At 42.0% G+C, this 23,675-nt stretch overlaps 1 long non-coding RNA gene across 2 annotated transcripts; it reads right to left on the reverse strand.

Moving 5' to 3' along the window:
* Positions 1–1,248: 1,248 nt before the first annotated feature.
* Positions 1,249–21,554, reverse strand: LINC03024 (long intergenic non-protein coding RNA 3024). 2 transcript variants are annotated; one of them, NR_134463.1, is made up of 4 exons: positions 21,457–21,554; positions 20,703–20,783; positions 2,190–2,463; positions 1,249–1,421 (listed from the first exon to the last, which is right to left on the reverse strand). It is a non-coding gene; the product is annotated as a long intergenic non-protein coding RNA 3024 (long non-coding RNA). The 2 variants fall into 2 exon arrangements; NR_134462.1 differs by lacking the exon at positions 20,703–20,783.
* Between the last annotated feature and the right edge of the window lie 2,121 nt (positions 21,555–23,675).

The following is a 23,675-nucleotide window of genomic DNA, read 5'->3' on the forward strand; positions in this document are numbered from 1 at the left end:
CTGGGACTATAGGTGCATGCCACCACACCCGGCTAATTTTTGTATATTTTGTAGACACGGGGTTTCTCCATGTTGCCCAGGCTGGTCTCCACCTCCTGGGCTCTGCTTGTTGAAAGTAAGTATGGGGAAGTGATCTGCCTGTCTTGGCCTCCCAAAGTGCTGGGATTACAGGCATGAGCCACCATGCCAGGACAGATTGTATTTTCTAACCTTTAGGTGTGGCCATGTGATGGGTGTTTGCCAATGACAAGTAAGCAACAGTGACGTGTGTTACACCTGGGTGGGAACTTTGAGGGCCGGTGAGCAACTTGCCAACTCTTTCCCCTGCAATCATGGTCATGAATCTGACAGGGGCTGCCCTATCGGCCTGGCCCTGGAGGGAAGACAACACGGAGCACAGCCCTTGATGGGCAGCCAACCTAAGAGGGAAGTAAAAGTCGGTGGCTTTAGGTCACTGAGATGTTGCATTATTTCTTACATAACACAACCTCATTTATTCGGACTGATACAAAATACTATGATGTTTGCATAGACACATAACTCTTATTTTGTGTGTCTGGCTCTTGACCATATATTTGTTACGTTTTTGATTTCCCACCACTCTGCCTTCTAGAAAGCAATGCCCGTTCATGGTCTGAAGGCCCTCAACACAAATTTTCCTTCTTTCTGCAGCATTTCAGGGAAAGTAGACCCCAGGATGAGAGTGTGTTTTGCTTCCTTTCCATCCCAAGATCTCACTGCAAAAAATCTCTACTCTGGCTCTGACCCCAATCCCCTCACTGCTATCGTGTCAGTATGTTTTGTGAGTGCCCTCCCCTCTACACACTTGACCCACAGCATTGTTGAAAGTAACTATGGAGAAGTAAAGGTGAATGGATTATAATTTCCCTGGAAGGGAGTTTGAGGTTGTAAAGGGATTACCGTAGTTTCTTTTTTTTCTTTTTTTTTTTTGAGGCGGAGTCTCTCTCTGGCACCCAGGCTGGAGTGCAGTGGCACGATCTCAGCTCACTGCAAGCTCTGCCTCCCGGGTTCACACCATTCTCCTGCCTCAGCCTCCTGCGTAGCTGGGACTACAGGTGCCAGCCACCACGCCTGGCTAATTTTTTGTATTTTCAGTAGAGGCAGGGTTTCACCGTGTTAGCCAGGATGGTCTCAATCTCCTGACCTCGTGATCCACCCACCTCGGTCTCCCAGGATTCCCGTGGCGTCTTAATTTCCTAGAGACATAAATTTTTCGGGGACCTGTTGTTGTTTCCAGAGTCAAGTTTATTCATGCACCTTTTAACGAATCAATGTTGTTCTGGTTGAATCATGGGCATAGAGAGTCAGCAACAACAATTCGGTAGGTGTTGTGCCAACGTTGGGGCACTTTAGTGAGAGGCACCGTGGGTTCCAGAGAAAGTCTTCTAGCTGGGGTCCTCCTGAAATCAGAAGGAGCTTGGATGAAGACTTCTACTAGATGGTTTATTTGGCAGGTTATCAAGGGGTAAGGAAGCAGGTAAGAAGGGAACACCAGTGCCAGGTGTGTTACCAAGGATGCTGCTGTGGACTGTGGAGTGCGGTCTCTCCAGGGCTGTCTGTGAAACACTCAGGATGCTGCTGGGAAGTGACAGCAGGGAGGGAAGGAGGCTTTTGGTTCCCACCTTGCCTTCTTAATTGAGGGCACCCCCAGGGCTGCTCACACCCCTTTATGTCTGATCTATGCTTGTACATATAGCCTGGAGGAACATCATTGTAGGAGCACTGCCCTTCCAAAGGCACAGAAAGCAAGGCCATGCTGTGCGTGTTTGAGGCAAGGTGCTGCTAGCACCAGGGGAACAGAAGTCCCCTGGAAACATCCACACCAGTGGCAGCCATCGTCAAAGGTGAGGAAGAGAATGACAGTCACAGTGACAGTGACAGTCATGTCTGCTTCCATATTATGATGTGATTTGCAATGAAACGTGTGTGCCCAGTAGTATTGAACATGCTTGTGTTCCTGGAAAGGCAAGCTGGTTCTCAGTTCTGTTGCCAATGTGCGTGGATGTGGGTGAGGTGATGTGGGATGTGGGTAGGGTAGCGCATGCTCTCTAGAAGGTAGCAAATCTACCTTACCTTTCATAAGGAAGTCATCAGATCCTGAATGTTTATGACTGGGGAAACTGAGGGAATGCAATAAACTTTCCTGGCACTATGTTCTTGGCACTTACCTGAGGACAACCCTGCTCCCATTTGGCCTGGATTTGGGGTCCCTTCCTCCTCCATGGTCCATTTAGGCCATGTTGTGTGTCAGTACGACCTACACGTGAACTCCAGAGGAAAGGCCTGCCCGGGATGTTGCTGCTGTTCTGATACAGAAACAATTGGATGCCCTTAAACGCACATGCCTTCCCATGTAATGTCTTGGCAAAGTGGAAATGAGCACTCAGAATTGCCGCTGGCAGGAGTGCTGCTGGGTTCGCGTTTCTTTATGCAATGTGCCATCTGTAGGAAAGAAATTGATTTTTTAAAATAAACGGGCTTTGTGTAAAATGTATACATATGTATGGTGCCATAATGGCTTTGCAAATGCCTTTCTCCCACTGAAGAATTGCCAGCGCATGGGGCTCCTCCGCTGATGATACGCAGGCACTCATGACTGGGGTTTGCATGAGGAAGGAGGCAGGAAGTTTGTGACTCCTTTCACAACCTTCTGAACCCATGAGCCTCAGAGAAGGGAGGGCCCTGGGTGACCATCTTACCTGAGAGGTATTTAATGGGGCTTTTCCAAGGCAGAAAAAGAGCAGTAAACGCTGTTCTGCTCTTGGGCAAAGGCAGACATAACCTGAAACATCGATATTGATATGGGCACTGGGCCGGGCACAGTGGCTCATGCCTGTAATCCCAGCAGCTTGGGAGGCTGAGCCAGGAGGATCCCTTGCGGTCAGGGGTTTGAGACCAGCCTGACCAACATGGTGAAACCTCATCTCTACTAAAAATACAAAAATTAGCCTGGCGTGGTGCCACATGCCTGTAATCCCAGCTACTCGGGAGGCTGAGGCAGGAGAATCTCTTGAACCTGGGAGGCAGAGTTTGCAGTGAGCCGAGATCATGCCACTGCACTCCAGCCTCAGCAACAGGAGTGAAACTCTGTCTCAAAAAATATATATATATTGATATGGGCACTTGGGGCATCTGGAATCAAAACAGAAATGATACCCTAACATATTGGGGTCTTCATTGACCGTAACCACAAAATGGGTTATTAGCATGATGTGGCTGCTTACAAAAGTGGAGTAGCAGAATTCTAAGATGATCTCTGTGATGGTGACTTTCATGTGTCCGCTCAGCTAGGCAATAGTACCCAGTCATTTAATTGAAACCTAATCCAGGTGCACTGGGCAGGTATTTTGCAGATGCGGTTGACTTTAAGGAATACAGATTAGCCTCGGTAATGAGGGTGGGCCTCATCGAATTCATTGTAGGCTGTAAGAGCAAACACTGAGGTTTCCCAGAAAGAAAGAAATTCTGCCTCAAGACTGCAGCATCAACTTCTGCCTGAGTTCTAGCCTGCTACCAGGCCCTGTAGACTTCAGATTTGCCAGGCCCACAGTCATGTGAGCCAATTCCTTAAAATAAATCTCTCAACATCTATATATCTATACATAGAAAAATAGAGTATATGTCTCAATAGATATATCTAAATCTATGTCTCTCTATGTAATCCACACTCATTACTTCAAATCACTTCCCCTGAATATTTATTTCCAGCCCAGACATCTATCTGATGCTCTCAATCAGGGGTCAGCACGCTGTGGCTCTCTAGCCAAATTCAGCCTGTCATTACCTTGGTAAATCAGTTTTACTGGAATACAGCCACATCCAATGATTTACACATCATCTGTGACTGCTTTCCAGCTGCAACAGTGGAGGTGAGTAGTTGTAGCAAGGATTGTACAACCCGCAAGACAAAAAACATCCTCTCCTTGGCCATTTTCAGAGTTTGCTGACTTCTGCTCTAGACCCAAATATGCAACTTCTCTGTGCAATTTACATGGCCTTCCCATGAGACCACAGACCTTCTTCTGTATAAGACCAACTACCTTCTTTTTCTTTCTGTGTCTCAGGGACAGCATCTCCCTCCACCATTTGTCCAAACCTGAAGCCCTAGAGTTGTCTTTGACTTTCTCTGCATCTCCCCACAACCCAACACCCAATACTACATCCAGTCCAACAAATCCAGTCTCCTGAGTAGCCCTTGGATATCTTCCCCAGCACCCTGGCACTCTCCCTGGGTCCTCTCTAGCTGCCTGTGACAGCCTTCACAATATCTTCTGGCTCCTTCTCCAGCCTGGTCCCCTCTCGTACTGCCATCAGAGGCTCTTCCTGGAAACAAAACAAAACAAAACAAAACAAAACAAAACAACCAAGAGGATCTTCTTGTCTCATTACAAGATACTTCGATGAGACACAGTTTAGAAGTCTAGCTTCTCATTGTTCTCTCCGAGGCCATCCCTGCCTGGTCTCTCCTCCTTCCTAGGGATTCCCCCCAACCCTGTCCAGCACAGCCCTGTGTTCCAGCTTTGGTCATTGTCTCTTCATTTCCAGGATCTGCCATGTTCCTGCTGAACTCTGAGATTTGCACATCCTACTTCCTCCCTCTGTTCTGCTCTCAGCTCTCACTTTGTGGGGAGACTCCAAGGGAACCTCAGTCCCTCTGGGGACATTGCTTTCTTTCTCTGGGGAACTTCCCATGTTCCTCTAGACTTGGCTCCTGCCTTGGGCTTTTCTTGTCAAAGATTTTATACCCCACGTTGTAACTTCCAGTTCTCTGCCTGTGTCCTCCAATAGTCCACCATCTCCACCAGGGCGGGGTTCATCTGTTTGCTTGCTGTGGTACCCACAGGCATTTTTTGAGTAAACGAAAGGGTGAACGGATGGGGGTTGGTCCAGCCCAGCTTCTCAGAGGCAGAGGGAAGGACCATTTCCATGTCACCAAAGCACAGAGGAGCTCAGTCGTTCTCCACGGGACAAGGTGACAGGACGATAGGGAAATAGACAGAGATGTGGCTTCTGTGCCTGGGGAGAGGCCCAGTAAGATGCGGGAACTCCCTCTTCCTCCTCCTCCCACTCTGGAATCTTCAGGAGCAGAGGCTCCTCTTTCTGGTCATATTGATAATCTCTTTGGTCTCCTCCCCTCCTCTTCCCTCCCCTTCATCTTCTCTTCTTCCCCACTTCTCATTTCCCCTTCTTTCTCTCCACTCCACCTCTCCCTTCTCCCTGTCCTCCTCTGCTTTTCCCATTTCCCATTCCCTTCCCTTTGTTTTTCACCTCTCTTCTTATTTCTTGCCTTCTTCCCCTCTTCCTTTCCCTAGTCTAGTCTCCCTTTCCTCTTCTACCTCTCCCACAGGTGGGCAGTGCTGAAACATGTCACCCCACTACTATGTAACCTTTAGCAGTTTTGTCTGCTTTGAACAATTTTAATCCAAGTTAATAACCTTGTATTACGTTTATGTTGAACCCTTCCATATACAGGCGTGTGCTGACCCATTGACATGCTGACCTGTGTTGCCTAATCACATTCACAGTATTCCTTTGAAGTGGATATTATTATTTATAGATGAGCAAATTGCATCACTTGTGATTCAGTAGGTGCAAGACACTGTAGAGAATGGAAAAAAATGATTTAATACATGGTCTACTGCTCTTAAAGGACACATAGCCCAACAGAGGGCTACAAAAGCCCCCCACAGTCTAAGGCAGATTCTAAGAAGGGGGGCATGCCTTAAGCATGTACCCTGCTGTGCCCCCACCACCTTCTCTGCTGTTTGCTTTTTCCTCACTCACATCATGGATCTTGCAGCTTTGACTGCTAGATTCTCATCAGAAACCTCCAGCCCCAACTTCTACACGAGATACTTTTGGGAATGCTTTTTTTTTTTTTTTTTAATGAGATAGGGCCTCACTCTGTTGCTCAGGCTAAAGTGCAGTGGTGCAATCTTGGCTTACTGCAACCTCTGCCCTGAGCTCAAGCGATCCTCTCTCCTCAGCATCCTAAGTAGCTGGGACCACAGATGTACATCCCCATGCCCAGCTAAGATTTTGTAGTTTTGGTAGACACAAGGGTTCACCATGTTACCCAGGCTACTCTCGAACTCCTGAGCTCAAGCAATCTGCCTACCTCGGCATCCCAAACTGTTGGGATTACAGGCGTGAGCCACCACGCCCAGCTGGGAATTCATATAATTTTCTCTCCAGTTTTGTGGAGTTTCTGTAAGACATTCTCATTCCTTTTCAGAAAAGGGGGTATGATAGAATCAATAAATGAGTAAAACAGTCATTTAGGCACCCAGAGTGCAAGGCATGACGCTGACACTCTGGGCTGAGCTGGAGAGAAGCCCATGCCTGCCGCTTGCCGAAGTGTCAACCTGGTGGTCATTTCCCAGCTCCAAGCCCCATTTCTACAAGTTGCATGGCACTGCTTCTCAGCAGATTGGTCAGAGGATTAAAGACCTGGTCAAGCGCCTGGTGCTATCTGGCATTTGGTTGGTTTTCAGTTAACATTAGTGCCTCTTTAATAATTAGTCTGTTATGGGTTTTCCTTGAGCCTTCTGTTGGGCAATTCCAGCTAATCAAAGGCACTGCTAAAGGTTAAGTTAATGAAACCATGATCATATTGTAGCTTTTTACCTGCTTGCCAACAAACACCTTATTGAAGACAAGCCAACTCTGGGCCATGCTGAGGTACAAAGCAGCCTTGGGTTTACCCAGTGGATTCCCTCGTGACATCAGATAGACTAAAGGAGCAATTAGCATTGGACACCTCCGCACAACGCTGAGGATGGCTTTCAACAAGCCAGCAGCTGCTGCACTCCCATTAGTTAATGTCACCATTCCTGCATTTATTCTGAATGATAATTACAGTATGTACCAATGTGTATTTTTAACTGCTCCTCTTAAAAAAAAATGGAAAAACAGTCATTCTCTTTCTACAGAGGCTCAGCTGCAGCATTGTTGCCCCAGTAAAGGAAAAGAAAGAAAAAAAAAACAACCCGGAACAATCCTGCCCTAGCCAGTGGCCAAGTGAAACCCCAGGCTGTCTTTTCTGAAGGGAAAATAATGTAGCCGTGTGTTTGGAACCAGTCTTAGCAGTGTGCAGTGTGTATGTGTAGGGCATGGTGTTTGTGAGGCCACACACATTCCAAGAATAACTGCTCTAGGTTGTTTTCAGTGAATAGTGGTCTTCACACATATCTTCTTGGACCCCTGTTTTTCATTTTTTTTTTAAATTTTTGTAACGAGTGAGGGAGGCTGGGCACAGTGGCTCATGCCTGTAATCCCAGCACTTTAGAAGGCCAAGGTGGGCAGATCACCTGAGGTCAGGAGTTTGAGACCAGCCTGGCCAACATGGCGAAACCCCGTCTCTACTAAAAGTACAAAAATTAGCCAGGTGTGGTGGCGGGTGCCTGTAATCCCAGCTACTCAGGAGGCTGAGGCAGGAGAATTCCTTACACCTAGGAGGCGGAGGTTGCAGTGAGCAGAGATCGTGCAACTGCACCCCAGCCTGGGCAACAGAGTGAGACTCCATCTCAAAACAAAACAAAACATAAAAGGAGTGAGTGAATTACAAGCTATAAGGAAATGGCCATGAAATGGCAGCTAAAGTTTTGGTGACCTGTTTATTTTTATTTTTATGTTACCTGAAACTGTATCTTGTAGTATTTTTAGATTTATAGCAAAGTTGCAAACATACCCTTTACCTAGCTTACCCTGATGCTAACATTTTACGTAACCATGGTGCAACTATGACAACTAAGAAATTAATACTGGTCTAGTACCCTGAGCTAACAGACTTCATTTTGTTGGTACCTATTATTTCACTGATGTCCTCTTCCTCAACGGGATCCAATTCAATGCAGAATTGCATATTGCATTTAGTTGTCATATGTATGTAGTCTCTTCTGATCCAAGGGCTTCTTAATCTTTTTCTTTGATTCTCTAAAGAATTTTGAAGACTATTAGTCAAGTAGTTTGTAGAATGTCCCCCTGTTTGAGCTTGTCTGATTAGATTGGGGTTATAGATTTTTGAGAAAAATATCATGGAGGTGAAGTGTTCTTCCGGTTGCGTGCTGAGGGGTATGTGATAGCAAGCAAGATAACTTATCACTGGTAGTGGTAACCTTGATCAATGTAGTGTCCACCTGGTTTCTATATTTTCACTTCTATACCTCTTTCTTTGGAAACAAGTTACTAAGTCTAGCCCAGAATCAAGAGGAAAGGAATTGAGCTCTGCCTCATGGATATGTATCTGATACATTATTTGGAATTCTTCTAAAGGAAGATTTGGGGAGCCTGGCCTTAAAGATGGATCTGTCAGTATGTGATTTTGGGCCCATAACTCAACCTCTCTTAGTCTAACTAAGATTTTTCTTCTAAAAAAAGAGAAGTTGCACAAAGATGCATCCCATGGTGTGGCCAGCTTGAATGCCCAGTGCTTAACCTGTTGTTAGGGTGACAGATTCTGAAATTAGAAAGATGAAGCTTTAGGTTTCAGGTCTACCACTTGCACACATGCCTTTAGATAAGTTTCTTAAACTCTATAACATTCAGGTGCCTTGTCTATAAAATGCAGTGAAACTGATACTGAGATATCACCTGTAAGGCATTTAGCACAGAACTTTGTGGGTAGGGACGCACAAGTTCCAGCTGTTATTTTGATCGAATAGCAGCTCAGTTATACACTAGTCAAAAGCAGTGTTTAATGGTATCCGATGACTGTATAGAATTATTTCTCTTCTTATGATATTGAGAAGTATTTTAGGACTTTTTCCAGCCTTGCTGAAACGTGGTGTCTATAGTAGTAGCATCACAACACCAACCTTAGCTTAACTTCTGACTTTTACACAATTACAGTTTTGGCAAAGTCAAAAGAGCCCATCCTGAATGTCAGGTGGAAAACATGGCTTTGGGTCAGCCCAACCACTGAGCAGCAGAACATTTTCGTCTGTGCCTCAGTTTCTTCATCTGTTAAATAAGCATGACTATTGTAGCTCCCAGCGCAGTGGTGTTAGCTGTAGCCTTACCACCTGGTGAAGATTCATTCCTGAGCTCAATAGCTGGCCCACCCATCATAAACTGCTTAATGCAAAACACTAGATGGGCACACAGCCATTAACTCTCAGAAGGCAGTGTTGTGCTGAGCCCCTGTTAGCCTCAGTTGGAAAAGCACCAAGTTCAAGAGGCCAAAGAAAGCACCCAGAGCCAGCAAATGAGACAAGGGGTTTAATTAGGGGCTTACGTACAGGGAGACGGAGTCCAGTGGTGGTGGGCTGGGCAGGAGAACTACCTTGTGTACAGAAAACATCTAGTGGCAGTGGTGGGAAAAGATAACCTCACGGCCCAGTGGTAGTGAGCTCAGCAGGAAAACCACAACTACCCACAAATATTATGCAGTTTATATTTGATTTTCACTTAACATCTGATATGGTTTGGGTCTGTTTCCCCACCCAAATCTCATTTTGAATTGTACTCCCATAATTCCTATGTGTTGTGAGAGGGACCCAGTGGGAGATAATTGAATTATGGGGGCAGTTTCTCCTATATTGTTCTTGTGGTAGGGAATGAGTCTCATGAGAACTGATGGTTTGATAAGGGGAAACCGATTTCGCTTAGCTCTCATTCTCTCTCTTGCCACCACCATATAAGAAGTGCCTTTCGCCTTCCTCCATGATTGTGAGGCCTCTCTAGCCACGTGGAACTGTAAGTCCATTAAACCTCTTTCTTCTGTAAATTGCCCAGTCATGGGTATGTCTTTATCAGCAGTGTGAAAACAGCAGTGTGAAAGCAGCTGAGATTACAGGCACGCACCACCATGCCCAGCTAATTTTTGTATTTTTAGTGGAGATGGGGTTTCACCATGTTGGCCAGGCTGGTCTCAACCTCCTGACCTCAAGTGATCTGCCTGCCTCGGCCTCCCAAAGTGCTGGGATACAGGTGTGAGCCACCATGCCCCTCTGAGGATTACAATTTGACATGAGATTTGGTTGGGGACACAGATCCAAACCACATATCAACCTGCATACCATGCTTGGGACTGTGAAAATACATGAGCATGTAGACAGATTCTACAATGGAATGTGTAGAAGTGAAAGCATCCTTCTGTTAAGACAAATAAAATGTAATTTGGTAAAAGTTAAACAAACCTTTTATTTTAAGTTTCCAAACAAATCTTCCAAGTTAGGAAAAACAGAAATAAATGTGATCCAAATTTCTCACTCTTTTGGAATAAATAGATGTATATTCGTTCTGTACACCTGCTCCACATATTTTCCAAATTTCTCTCTTCCCATATATGCCCCTCAAAGCTCCTCCATAAAATTACTACAGTCAATAGAACTGTTTGTAAAAGACAAAGAGAAACAATTTCAGGACTCTATACAAGAAGGGAAAGATAAAGCTTTTTTGCTTTTTTTCTTTTCATTCTTCAGCAGCTTGTTAGAGTCTCAGAGCCTGTGTTATTGAAACCCCAGGGTGACGAGCATTAAGGTGAATCTATTGCCAAGCTTGAGCCCTTTAATGAGTGCATTGATCAGAAAAGAGAGGCAAGAAAGCAGAGTCCGGTGACACCTGAATGAATGTAAATTTAGCCCCGATTGAAGTTCCTCCACAGTCGGCCTGCTCCACGCTGACAGTGTTATCGAGAGGAGAGAAAAGCAATTTTGGTCTTCAGTCTTGATTCTCTTCATGCTGTTGGCAGTTTTTAAGAAGAACAAGTTATGACTATTTTACTTCTAAAAAGCAGTGGGAACTTGTCAAAGATTTCCTCCCTGGAAGTGACAATTGAGAATGCGTCTACTTGGTGCTGATCTTGAATCTGTAATCAATCCGATGGACTGGAGAAAGAAGTACTTTCAAACCAGTCGAATTGTTGGGAAATTGGTCAGGCTGCCTCAGCAGGAAGTGAGCATCCCGTCATGGGAAGAGTGCAAACAAGAGCAGGCTGGCTAATTGGCAGGATGTTTCAGAGGGGTTCACACATGAAAAGGAGGCCTGCAGAGAGGTGGAGGGCTTGATACTGAGTCACCTTGAAGATGGCGCCAATGTTAGCCTTCTATCATTCTAGACAACCAGCCAGCAAAATGATAAGCATTACAGGTTTTTGGAACTAGACAGATGGATTTTTAGATTGTGGCTTCTCTCTTGTGTGACATTGGGCAACTTACTGTCCCAGTCTTTACATAAAGACTCTGTCTCTTTATAAGCCAAATGGGGATGGAAATATTACCTAACTCATAGGTCTGGAGAGTTTAAATTAGATAATGCCTGAATATAGACTGCTCATGTTAGTGCCTAGAGTATAACCTTTTCTCAGTGAACGTTCTTGTGATTAGGATTGCCCAGTGATTTGTCTTCAGATTCAACTTGGTATATTGAGCCCTTTTTGGATGCTTGACATTTTTGCCCCTGTTATCTTACATAAAATCCGCAACCACCTTGAGAGGTATGGCTGTTTAACTTCACTTTCCAGAAGAAGACACGGAGGTTCAGAGAGGCTCAGAGACACCTTCAAGGCCACACCGCTCACTCAAGTAACTGTTTGTTGTTTTCTGAGTTATCACACCTAAGGTGCCCAGCACAAGTTCTAGCACACAGTAGGAGCTTGATAAAGCGAGGGTCTCCAAGGACTCAACTCCACTCTGCTTGCACAACTCAGCCCCTTTCCACCATCAGCCCCTCCCTTCTACCCTGCCCTGAGATGCTGTCCCTTGCTCATCTGCTTCCCCTGCATTTTCGAGCCCCTGACTCTCCTCTCTTCTCTCCCCTTCGTCTCCCTTCAGACTTTGGCACATCAGCGCCTTTTGATTTCTGTAGCCTCTTCAGAAGTATTTTTGACACAAACAATAGTCCCGGCTTTTGCTTTTCCAAGAGGCATCAGCACAATCGGAGCAGACACTGGTGACTCATTTTGATCATCGCCTTTAAGCAATTCACTCTGTGAGCCTGGACTTGACAGGCCTCACTGTGCCGTGAAATCTAATACTATTTTTATGCCTTTTAATCTATCTTTTAACAGCCTCCTTGTTTAGAACTCTGCGCCCTGGATTCACGGAAAGCACGTTTTTGAGAGTGGTGAGGACAAACTTGGCCCGTCTTAATCAAAGGCTCGGGGAGACCCAATCTGGGGTCCTTACTCAATCCTCAACTCTCCTAATGCCTTCCCCCACTGCTTCCTTTTATAATGGCCTCAGCAGGAACCTTCCTGGCTGCTTGACAGAGCCTCTGGCTGGCTTCTTCTATCTTAATAACCGCTGAGCTCTCCAAACTAGGATCTTGTCAAAATGTTTCTAAAGTGCCAGAGTTGTTCTATTGAGTCACTGTCATTGGAATGTCGTTATGGAAATACATGTTCTGGGTAAATGTCAGGGAAAGGGCTAGTCACTTCATTGTGAAAGCCTTCCTAGATAGCCCCAGGCCAAGTGACAGGCTTCTCTCCTGGGTTCTTTAAGAACTGAGTGCGTATCTTTGTGCTTATATTTTATTTAATGTGACAAGCATTCATGAGGGATTTACATGAAGCATTCTGTTATGTTTGTTTAAATGTCTTTCTTCTGGACTATACAGTGAGCTTCTTTGTCTTATTAGGAATTTAGGGTGGGGACGCAGCATGCTGATCCCAAAACTCACTTCTGCTCTCTGGAGATCCAGACCAAAAGAACTGTACGTACAAGAATGAAAGCCAAGGCTGGGCGCGGTGACTCATGCCTGGAATCCTAGTACTTGGGAGGCCGAGGCAGGTAGATCACAGGGTCAGGAGTTCGAGACAAGCCTGACCAACATAGTAAAACCCTGTCTCTACTAAAAATGCAAAAAATTAGCTGGGCGTGGTGGCAGGCGCCTGTAATCCCAGCTACTCAGGAGGCTGAGGCAGGAGAATCACCTGAACCTGGGAGGCAGAGGTTGCAGTGAGCCAAGATCATGCCACTGCACTCCACCCCGGGCGACGGTGTGAGACTCTGTCTCAAAAACAAAAACAAAAACAAAAACAAAAAAAAGATAGATAGCCATATGGGAAGCAAACACATTTCATTCATAGAATCACTGGGAAAGCAATGTGTATTGTTTACTGCTGAGATTTCTGGGAAAATGGAGCTGGAGAGTGAGATGGAGGGTTGGGTCCTATGGAGATTCTTTGACTTCCCCTGGTACCTAACCCTGGAGCCCACGTGCTCTTGGCCAGGTCCCAAGAGGGATCTCGAGACCCTCAACACCACCATTGAAGTGGATGAAGGTCAAACAAGACCCCATGGGGCAAGCATGGGAGCAGGATATGAAAGAGAATGCGAGGCTCCAGGCCTGGACTTAAGGTTGTAGCCTTTCAGTTGGCATGTTTTTCTGAAAGCATTTAGAAGCTACCAACTGTTTAAATAATGGTCAGCTTTCACTTCCAGCCATAATGAAGTAACAGGGACTGAACTTATCCTCCCACTTTAGATAGCTAATCACATGGACAAAATATATGAAATAACAGTATTCATACACTAGAAAACAGGCAGTACAGGACAGTAATACTTGAGAAAAAAGAACCAATGGGGCAAGTTCTAGGAATATTTCTCTATTTGGCCTGGAGAGAGTTTCCAGGCTGCAGTGCAAGAAGCAGCAGCTCAAACTGAGTCCAGTGGTCTCCCTAAGTTTAGGAGGCAGGACTGAGAATTTAGGGAGGCCAGTGTGGCTGGGATTCTTTCAGTAGTGTTCCTGAAAGGAGCGAGCTTCACAGAAAAAGAGCTTTGGAGTTTTGTGGAAGAGTCCTTTTTGAGTCTTTAGCTGAGTACTAATCAGCACCTGCGCTAAAGAAAACTACCTGAGGCCAGGGAGGAAAAAACAAACAAACAAACAAACAAACAAACAAACAAAACACCCGGAAGGAGTAGATAGAAAAATTTCTGGAGCCATACAGGACTGGGAATAATTCATGTTCCTGACAGCCATTATAAGATACCTCATATGGCGCAGGGCATCAGGTTGAGTATTCAAAAGGGGATTGTCTCATTGATGGGGACAGATTAGTTTGTGTCTCTGCCTAGCAAAGCATAGAAACAGGTCTTGAGAGGATCAGTTTGTTCCCAACTACCTTAACTGGACCCAAGAACAAATCCGAATAATACTTATAGGGATACAGAAAAAATGTAATACCCCAAAATTAAAAGTCACCAATATCTAGCATCCTACCAAACAGCACTAGATACTCAAAGAAAAATATGACCCATAATAAAGATTTAAAAATCAATCCATAGAAACAGACATTAATTAAATAACACAGATAATATAATTAGTACATGTGGAAATTAAAAAAGCTATTATAAATACATTCTGTATATTTAAGAAGATAGAGAAAACATGAGCATGTTAAATGGACATGTAAAAGATATGACAAAGATCCAAATCAGACTTCTAGAGATAAAAAATACCTGAGATGTAAAATACATGAGATGCCATTAATAGCTAATTAGAGGCTGCAGAGGACAAGATTAGTGAACTTGAAAAAAAAGCAGTAGAAAACATTTAAAATAAAACAAAAAAATACGGAAAATAAAGTGAACATTGATGTGCATTATCCCATCAGTGTGCCATGGTGTAGTTTCACAAGGTCTAAGATATGTGTAATTGGAGTCCCAGAGAAAAAGGGGAAGACAAGGATATTCAAAGAAGTCTGTTCAAAATTTTTACAAATTTGACAAAAACTATAAACCCCTAAATCCAAGAAGCCCAGAGAACTCTCCAAGCTGAAGAAGCTTGAAGAAAATGACACCAGTGCACATTGTAATCAATTTTCTTAAAACTGATATAAAGAGAATATCATAAAAGTATCCAGGAAAAGTAAATGCATTATGTGCAGGGAAACAACAATGAGAATGACAACAAACTTTGTTGGCAGCAACACAAACCAGAAGACAATGGGGCAACATCTTTAAAATACTTAACAAAAAGACAAAATACTTAGAATTCTATACTCAGCAAAAGTATCTTTCAAAAATGAAGGCCAAATGCAGGTAAATAAGAGGAGATATGTGTTTAGATATACATTTTAGAAGGGTCACTGTTCACAGGGTAATGAATAGATGGGTAAGAAAGACTGAAGGGAAGAGACTATTTTAGTGATCTCGATATCAGATGATGAGAGCCTAAGTTAAGACAGTTATTGTAGGAATAAAGAAAGAGATGAGTTGGAGAGATGTAGACTGTTGTTTGCCTAGGAAATATTACTCTTCCTTCAATGCACATTTTCAATAGCAGAAGTTGTGACTTCTTCATCTCTGATTCCTCAGGACATAGAATAAGCACACTGGTGGCTCTTAGAAAATATCATTTCAATTCTAGTCGCCTTTCTTTGTGCTGACTCTTGTCTATACCTCTCAGTTTTGTTTGTTTGTTTGTTTTTGAGACAGAGTTTTGCTCTTGTTGCCCAAGCTGGGGTGCAAGGGTGCAATCTCGGCTCACCGCAACCTCCACCTCCCGGGTTCAAGCGATTCTCCTGTCTCAGCCTTCCTGAGTAGCTGGGATTACAGGCATGTGCCACCATGCCTGTCTAATTTTGTGTTTTTAGTAGAGATGGGGTTTTTCCATGTTGCTCAGGCTGGTCTCGAACTCCGGACCTCAGGTGATCCACCCGTCTCGGCCTCCCAAAGTGCTGGGATTACAGGCATGAGCCACTGCACCTAGCCTGTACCACTCAGTTTAACTAGATACTTGCTTCTTCTTGAATTCATGTTGGCCCTATATTTATAAATAATGATAATACAACCGAAATTATCAATTTTGAAATGCAATGGTTTGTTTTGAAGTCTTGCTCTATAGTAAACGTCATGAGATATACTTGCCAATCTTTTCTTCTAGTTTTCTGTATTTTCCTCTACAAAGCAACCTGAATTTATTTAAAAATGTTAATTAAATTGGATACTAGAATGGAGTCAAAATAAGCAAGATTCAAAAATCTAAGTTAATTTTCAGTTTGTAGTATATATTTCAAAATGAAGTAAGTCCATGCTTTTATGATAATAAAAATTCCTACCATTTAGGTAGCAAACATAACACAACTGAATTAAAATTATTATAGTAGCAATTAGATTATTCTTTCTGGACTAAGGATGACAATTAATGCATTAATATAGTTGTTCAACAAAAAGAATGAGAGTATTACCAATAATTAACTACTTATCCTTGAAGGTTCTGCTCAAATGCCCCCACAGCTTTCCCTGATTCCTCTAGGTAGAGATGAATACCTATTACTCTTGCTTCTGTTGTATTGTGTACATATTTTTATGTTTTTCCTCATCTTGAACTCTCTTCTCCAATCCCTTAGTGAGCTACTACTCATTTTATTTTTAGTTTAGAAGTTCCTTTTTCCAAAAAGCCTTCCCTGAATTCTCATGTCTGTGCAGATGTCCCTTCTTTGTCTCTCATTGACCCAGATACTTCCCCTGATATAGACATTACTTAGCTTTGTAATTCCCTCTCTGTGTGCCTGCCCCTTCTCTCCACACTGCAAATACGATGAGGGAGGAGATCTTATTTCTCATGGTCACATGGATCTCAATGCCTATTAGAATTCTTGGCACTTAGTAGGTTCATTTTTGAATGAATACATGTGTCTAAATTATCCTAGATCCTCAATTTGTAATGTGCACAGTACTTGGCACACAATAGTTACTCAAAAAATAAGTATCGGTTAGACTAATTTAAAGCAAAGTCCTTGCTTATACAATCTGGTGAAAGACATAGATACATAAATAGGCCACAATACAACTAAGAATGTGCCAAACACTAAAAGAATAATTCATTATAATTGGAAGCTTTGGAAGTATAATAGAATATTGATGTTCTTAACAAATGGACATGATGGTTAAAGAGGGAACTGTTGGCAGACAAAACATCATGGCACAGAAGTATAACTTGCAGTGCAATGTATTGTGAGGACTGGTGAGCAGTTCTGTGCAATCACAGCATAGACTTCTCCGATGCCTGGGGCTGGAGTTGGGTGAGGAAGCTGTGGGAGCTGGGGTTGGGTTAGATCCAATTTTACCACTTTCTTTTGCAAAAGAGTTGTCTGGGTGCATAAGTAAGAAAACCATGGAAAGAAATATATATTTAGTGTCAACTTGTGTGGCAGTCTTTGTATATATTATTTTACTTAATACAACAGTCTTATGAGAGATTATACATTTTGTAGAAGGGGAAATTGAGGCTCAGAAAGTTAAAAGAAGCTGCCCAAGTAGACCCAGGTAAGTGGTAGTAAGTAGAGCCGGGATTTTAGACAGGGCTATCTGAATGAGAGAACTTCCACTTTTTTTTACACAATCACTTCCTTGCCTGTGTCTTTTCACCTGTATCCCTGAATGAGATATGTACACAATTTTTGGTTAAACCAGTAACAACGTTTATGGAATTATGACTATGTAAATATAGGTCCCTGCTAAGCTAAGTAGTGCACAGTTAGATCAACTTTCTCCTTCAAATTTTTGTTTTACTTGGAGTTAATAATTGCCTTGATTTTCCATTGTTTATTTTCTACTTGCCTATTATTATCATTTTTAGTGTTTCCACCTTCCATCATATGCCTATATATAGCTCTTCAAATATTTAACCACAGTTATAAGCTTTCAGTTGTATTTATGTATTTTATTTAATTTATTTTAAGGCACAGTCTTGCTCTATTGCCCAGGCTGGAGTGCAGTGGCATGATATTGGCTCACTGCAAACTCCACCTCCCAGGTTCAAGTGATTCTCCTGCCTCAGCCTCCCGAGTAGCTGGGATTACAGGCATTTGCCACCACGCCTGGCTAATTTTTGTATTTTTAGTAGAGATGGGGTTTCGCCATGTTGACCAAGCTGGTCTCAAACTCCTGACCTCAGGTGATCCACCCGCCTTGGCCTCTCAAGTTGCTGGGATTACAGGCATGAGTCACTACGCCCGGCTCAGTTTTATTTTTATGGTATTTAAAACCTGCCTCCTGGATCATGTTTTTATTTCAGTCTGCATAGATCACTTTTTCAATCTGATACATAATGGCCATTCTTTTGCTAATATTGGTCTCCTCAGTTGGATCCTCTGTCTCTTGGATCTTGGGTCTCCCTTTTCTATTCCTTCATCTCAGTAAGTGCCTCCTTCAGTACTTCCTAAGAAAGGAAATATAGAAGGCCATTTTACATTTATTATTATTATTATTATCATTATCATTATTATAGTGTTGGCAAGTCTGAAACTGCTCTCATTTCCTTGGAGTTGACTGATAATATATTTCCAGGTTGGTAAATCATACCATGGATTGGCTTACCCAACAGCCATTTCATCTTGCCTTTTCTGTGCTTTCCTATAATTTAGAGTCTGAGAAATTAAAAATATATTTCACAGGCTTCTGGTCATGGTGCAGTAGCTGGGACTGGATTATCCCTCCTCCTGTAAACAAATATAAAACTGGATAAAAATATGAGATAACTATTTTCAGGCAGTGGGCCGTAGGTAATGCAAATCTGCAATTCTTGAGAGAAGGGAAACTTCTGAGATGACTCTTGTGAGTATCCAGCTCTGTGCTTAGAACAATTTCCTGGTTGCAGCACAATAAGCTGGAGTCCAAACAGAAAGCATGGCCCCAGTGAGCTGACCAAACAGAGATCACAATTAAGAGTTATGGGCTTGAGGCAGATGGAATCCTCAAGGTGGGCCTTGAGTAGAAGAACCTCTGTGGACAGGGGATTCCATAAATTGATGGAGAATCCCTGAGATTCTGTGGCTGAATTTTCATTGTACATGTACAGGATAAGCCATCCAGCTTTACCATATAGCACATACTATGCTGTTAAGAGCAGAACACAAATATGAGAAGTCAAGCAGTTCTTGGAAGGAGAAGTGCAAGGGAAGTTGGAGTTCTTTCCCTGTCAGAGTGGAGACATCTTCTTAATCCATCATTAATACCCTAGCATCTAGCCGAGACTCCAGAAAGCTTGTGTCTTAACAATAGGGATCATAGCATGGACCTGGCCTAACCAAGGTCACAGAAAAGATCTCTAGAAAATACTGAGTTTAGTGTTTGGTCCCTCGAGGTTAGAGAGGTTTGGAAAACACCTTGAGCTTTTCACAGACTTGAATGAACAAAGTGTTAAACCAAGCATTTAAAAGTGCAGGTGATTAACCAGTAATTGAACGACTTGTGAATTTGAGAGGACAATACTGAAGCCAGAGTCTCTTCAATGTCTTTTCTACAACATTCAGTATTCAATGCAAATTTCAGTAGATATACAAAGAAAGAGAAACATATGATTCATAGTAAAAAACAAAACAAAACAAAACAAAACTGTCAACAGGGACCAAATCTAAGATAATGCACATGTTGTACTAAGAAAAGACTTGAAAATTACTCCTGTAAAGATGTTTACATAAAGAAAAATTTGATTTTAATTAGTAAGCAGATAAAAAAAATTCAATAGAAAAAAATGTAAACTATAAAATTAAATAGTGGCCAGTTGCGGTGGCTCATGCCTGTAATCCCAGCACTTTGGGAGGCTGAGGCAGGTGGATCATGAGGTCAGGAGATCAAGACCATCCTAGCCAACATGGTGAAACCCCACCTCTACTAAAAATACAAAAATTAGCCGGGCATAGTGGTGGGTGCTTGTAATCCCAGCTACTCAGGAGGCTGAGGCAGGAGAATTGCTTGAACCTGGGAGGCAGACGTTGTAGTGAGCTGAGATTGCACCATTATACTCCAGTCTGGGCAATAAGAGCAGAACTCCATCTTAAAAAAAGGAAAAAAATTAAATAGAATTTCTAGAACTGAAACAAATGAACAGAAATAAAAAGTTTACTGAACAGGTCTAATGGAAGATTGGAAATGGCAGAAGAAAAAGTCAGTGAACTTGAACATAGATAATAAAAATTGCCCCATTTGAAGGAAAGAAGGATAAAAGATTGAATAAAGTTTAAAAGAACCCCAGGGCTCTGTGTGAAAATAGCAAATAGTCTAACACATCAGCACTAAGAGAGAAACTAGTGAACAAAATGCAAAGAAAATATTTGGCCTGGCGCAGTGGTTCACACCTGTAATCCCAGTACTTTGGGAGGCCAAGGCAGGCGGATCATTTGAGTTCAAGACCAGCCTGACCAACCTAGTGAAACCCCATCTCTACTAAAAATACAAAAAACTTAGCCAGGCGTGGTGGCCAGCTACTCGAGAGTCTGAGGCAGGAGAATCACTTGAACTTGGGAGGCGGAGGTAGCAGTGAGCTGAGATTGCACCACTGCATTCCAGCCTGGGTGACAGAGTGAGATTCTGTCTCAAAAAAAAAAAAAAAAAAAAAAAATTGAAGAAACTATAGTCTCTAATTCTCCAAATTTGATGACTTACAGGTCCAAGCAGTTAAACAAATACCAAAACCTGATAAATACAAGAAGTTTCCTCTCCAGTAGTATGATAGTCAAATGATTGAGAAACAGAGATAAGGAGAACATCATGAAAGAAGCCAGAGCAAACAGACACATTATACGTAGGGGACAAGCATAAGAATTATTGCTGAATTGTTATCAGAAACAATGGAGGCCAGAAGATAATGGAATAACATCTTTGAAGTGCTGAATGAGAAAAGCAATAACCAAACCAAACTGTCAGTACAGAATTCTGTATTCAACAAAAATATCCTTTGAATGAGGGCGCAATAAAGGCATTTTCAGTTAAATTAAAATTTAGTGATTTTACCTCCATCAGACTTGTAGTACAAGAAATGCTAAAGCAAGTCCTTCAGGTCAAAGAGATGTAATATTCTATAGACGTTCAAATCTACAAGGGAAAATAAAAAGCACTGGAGATAGTAAATAAGTAGGTAAATATAAAAGACTTTTCTTGTTTCTTGTAACTCACACAAAACACAACTATTTAAAGCACAAACGAAAACACTAAAAAGTGAGGTATTACAATTATATCCTGAATTTAGTCATGAAGTAATAAGAAGACAAATTCTGATGTTCATCCTAAAAGACAAATGACGTGGAATTTTCAGAAAGACCAAAGTCTTGAAAATGCATAAAAGTAAGAGAACTATTTTTCATTAAAGGAGACTAAAAAGACAGGAGAATCAAATGCAATTCATAACCCTTAATTGGATTATGGCTCAAACACACAGATACACACATGTGCACATGTGCATGCACACCCGGAAAAAACAAGACTTAATTGGGATGATTAATGGAATTTGATTTGAATATGGACAACATGTCAGATAATATTATTGTTTCAAATAATTATCCAGTGTGATCATTGTATTGTGGTTATGTAGGAAAATGTTGAGTTGTTAAGAGATTCATATTGCTGTGTAATTAGTGGTCAAAATGCCATGATTGGTGATTACAACTTGCCTTCAAATGGTTTAGAGGAAAAAAAAGTAAAATATCAGAAACTGCTGTCACAGCCATAGAAGCTCCCTGCTCCAATTTCCCTTTAAGAAAGCACTTACCAGTCAGTTGCAGAGTGTAGTCAGCTGGAAGTTTCTAGTCATTAGGTCCTTCAGGATCCGATTCTGCTTTTGAGCTGAGGCAACACTCTTCCCCAGCAGTGCCCAGCCAGTGACTGATCAGTGCGTGATACCAGCTGTGCAGTGGGAAATCTTTGCTCTGGAGCTCTGTGTTAGGTCGGCTGAGACCTTGTCAGATCCTTATCATAGTCTGAGACACTCCCTGCCAGTGCTGCTTCAATTCCCTTGATGTCTCATAAACTCTCCTCTGGCATCCTAACTCAGTCTCATCATTAGTGTCCTTTCAACTGGCATTATCAGTGACTCTAATTGAGGACTATATAGATGTGCATTATCTCACTCTTTCAACTTTAGTATGGTTTGAAATTTTCACAATAATAAAAAGTTAAAAGTCATAATACAACAAGAAGAAGCACTTCCTTGTAGCTGGGGTTCCTGAGTAATTCGGGTTTTATTGATTAGAATTACTCGTGTGAACCTTGGAACAGGACGGAAGTTAACTGTATGATAATTCATTTTTAATAGGATGGATGGCAGAGATAGGGAGGCTATTTTGGTCAAAAGCTCCCCTATTTGACAATCCCCTATAGTGATGGCAGCAACTTTTCTATCTTAGCAAGACCAGTGTCTTTCTGAGGGCCAAGAGTTGTTCTGGAAGCTCAGCCTACAGCTTGTTTTCCAGATGTTATATCATATTTTTAAAATCTACACAATACCCTAGAAGTAAATCTCTGCTCTAGCAGCTTGCATGGTTTCTGTTGTCTTCAATGGAACCTTAGCCAAAATGCAGGTAGAAATCTATTTTTTTTTCTCATATACGTATTTAAGAATTTTTCCTCTTCTTTTCTAGGTACTAATGTTGCTGTTGAAAAGACCACTGTTGTTTTTTTCTCCAGGTTCTTTATATGTTACCCCCTATAAAAACTTTTAGAATCATGTCATTATTACTTGTAGTTTTGAAATTTCCTGATAAGGCAACTTCTCATTCATTATGTGAGTGCTCAGTGGGCCCCTTCATTTATTATACTTGTTACTGGATGTGCATGCCTTTCAGGTACAGAAATTTCCCTGTCTTGTATCTTTGACAATTTCACCTTATTCTTCTTTTAGCTCATTTTGGAAGACCATATGTCGAACCTCTTGGTTTAATCTTTTAATTTTTATTTATTTTAGTCTTTTTTCTCTTTTTTCTTGTTATACTTTCTGAGAGTTTTTTATTGTTTAAACTTTCAGGCTGTCTATGTTTTTCCCTAGATTTTATTTTTTCTTCTTTTCTTGTTTAATTGCTGAAGACTTTTTTTTTTATTTTGTTTCTCATTTGTTTCTTTTTTGTTGCTAACTATTCTTTTTGGACAGATATCATATCTTCTCTTACTCTTTTGGAGATAAAAATGAATTTTAGAAAAGTTTTCTTCCATCTCCTGCATTAGCTTCATTTCTTCTGACTCTCTCCTTCCACTGCTTGTTTTTGTCTGTCTTTTCCAGTTTGGAAGCTTTCTTTAATGATTTATGATTACTAGTTTCCATGTCCCAAGTACGAAGTGAGTGAATCATAAAAAAGATTATTGTGAGCTCTTTACGGGTAGTCAGAACTTATGGATTATTGGTTTCATTTCAGGAGGACTATGTGTGAGTTGACTTTTTTACTGATTGAAACTGAAACACCAGTATCTGACAATTACTAGTTTCTTAGTAACAGAACTTAGTATTAGGATTATTAACTTTTCAATGCCTCAGTTTGCTCATAGAAACAATGGTAATAATCATAGTACTTACCTTTTAAGATGAGGATAAAATGAATAAATGAATGTAAAATGCTTAGAAAAATGCTTGGCACAGAGTCAAGCATTATAGTAGTTGCCCCTTCTCTGAGGCTTCACTTTCTGTGGTCTCAGTTACCCTTGGTCAACTGTGGTCAGAAAATATTAAATGGAAAATTCCAGAAATAAACAATTGCTGTTTTAAACTGTGTGCCATGCTGAGGACAGTGAGGAAATCTCCCACTGCCTGTCTCCATCCCACCTTGGACATGAATCATTCTGCCCTGTGTCTCCACACTGTAGACGCTGCCCGTCATTGAGTCACTTTGGAGCTGTCTCAGTTACCGGATTAACTGTCGTAGTATCGCCAGTGCTTGTGTTCAAGTCACCATTACATTACTTAAGAATTGCCTCAGATTGCAAGAGTAGTGATGCTGGCAA

The sequence above is a fragment of the Homo sapiens genome, chromosome 8, assembly GCF_000001405.40.
Source record: "Homo sapiens chromosome 8, GRCh38.p14 Primary Assembly".
NCBI classification, from domain to species: domain Eukaryota; kingdom Metazoa; phylum Chordata; class Mammalia; order Primates; family Hominidae; genus Homo; species Homo sapiens.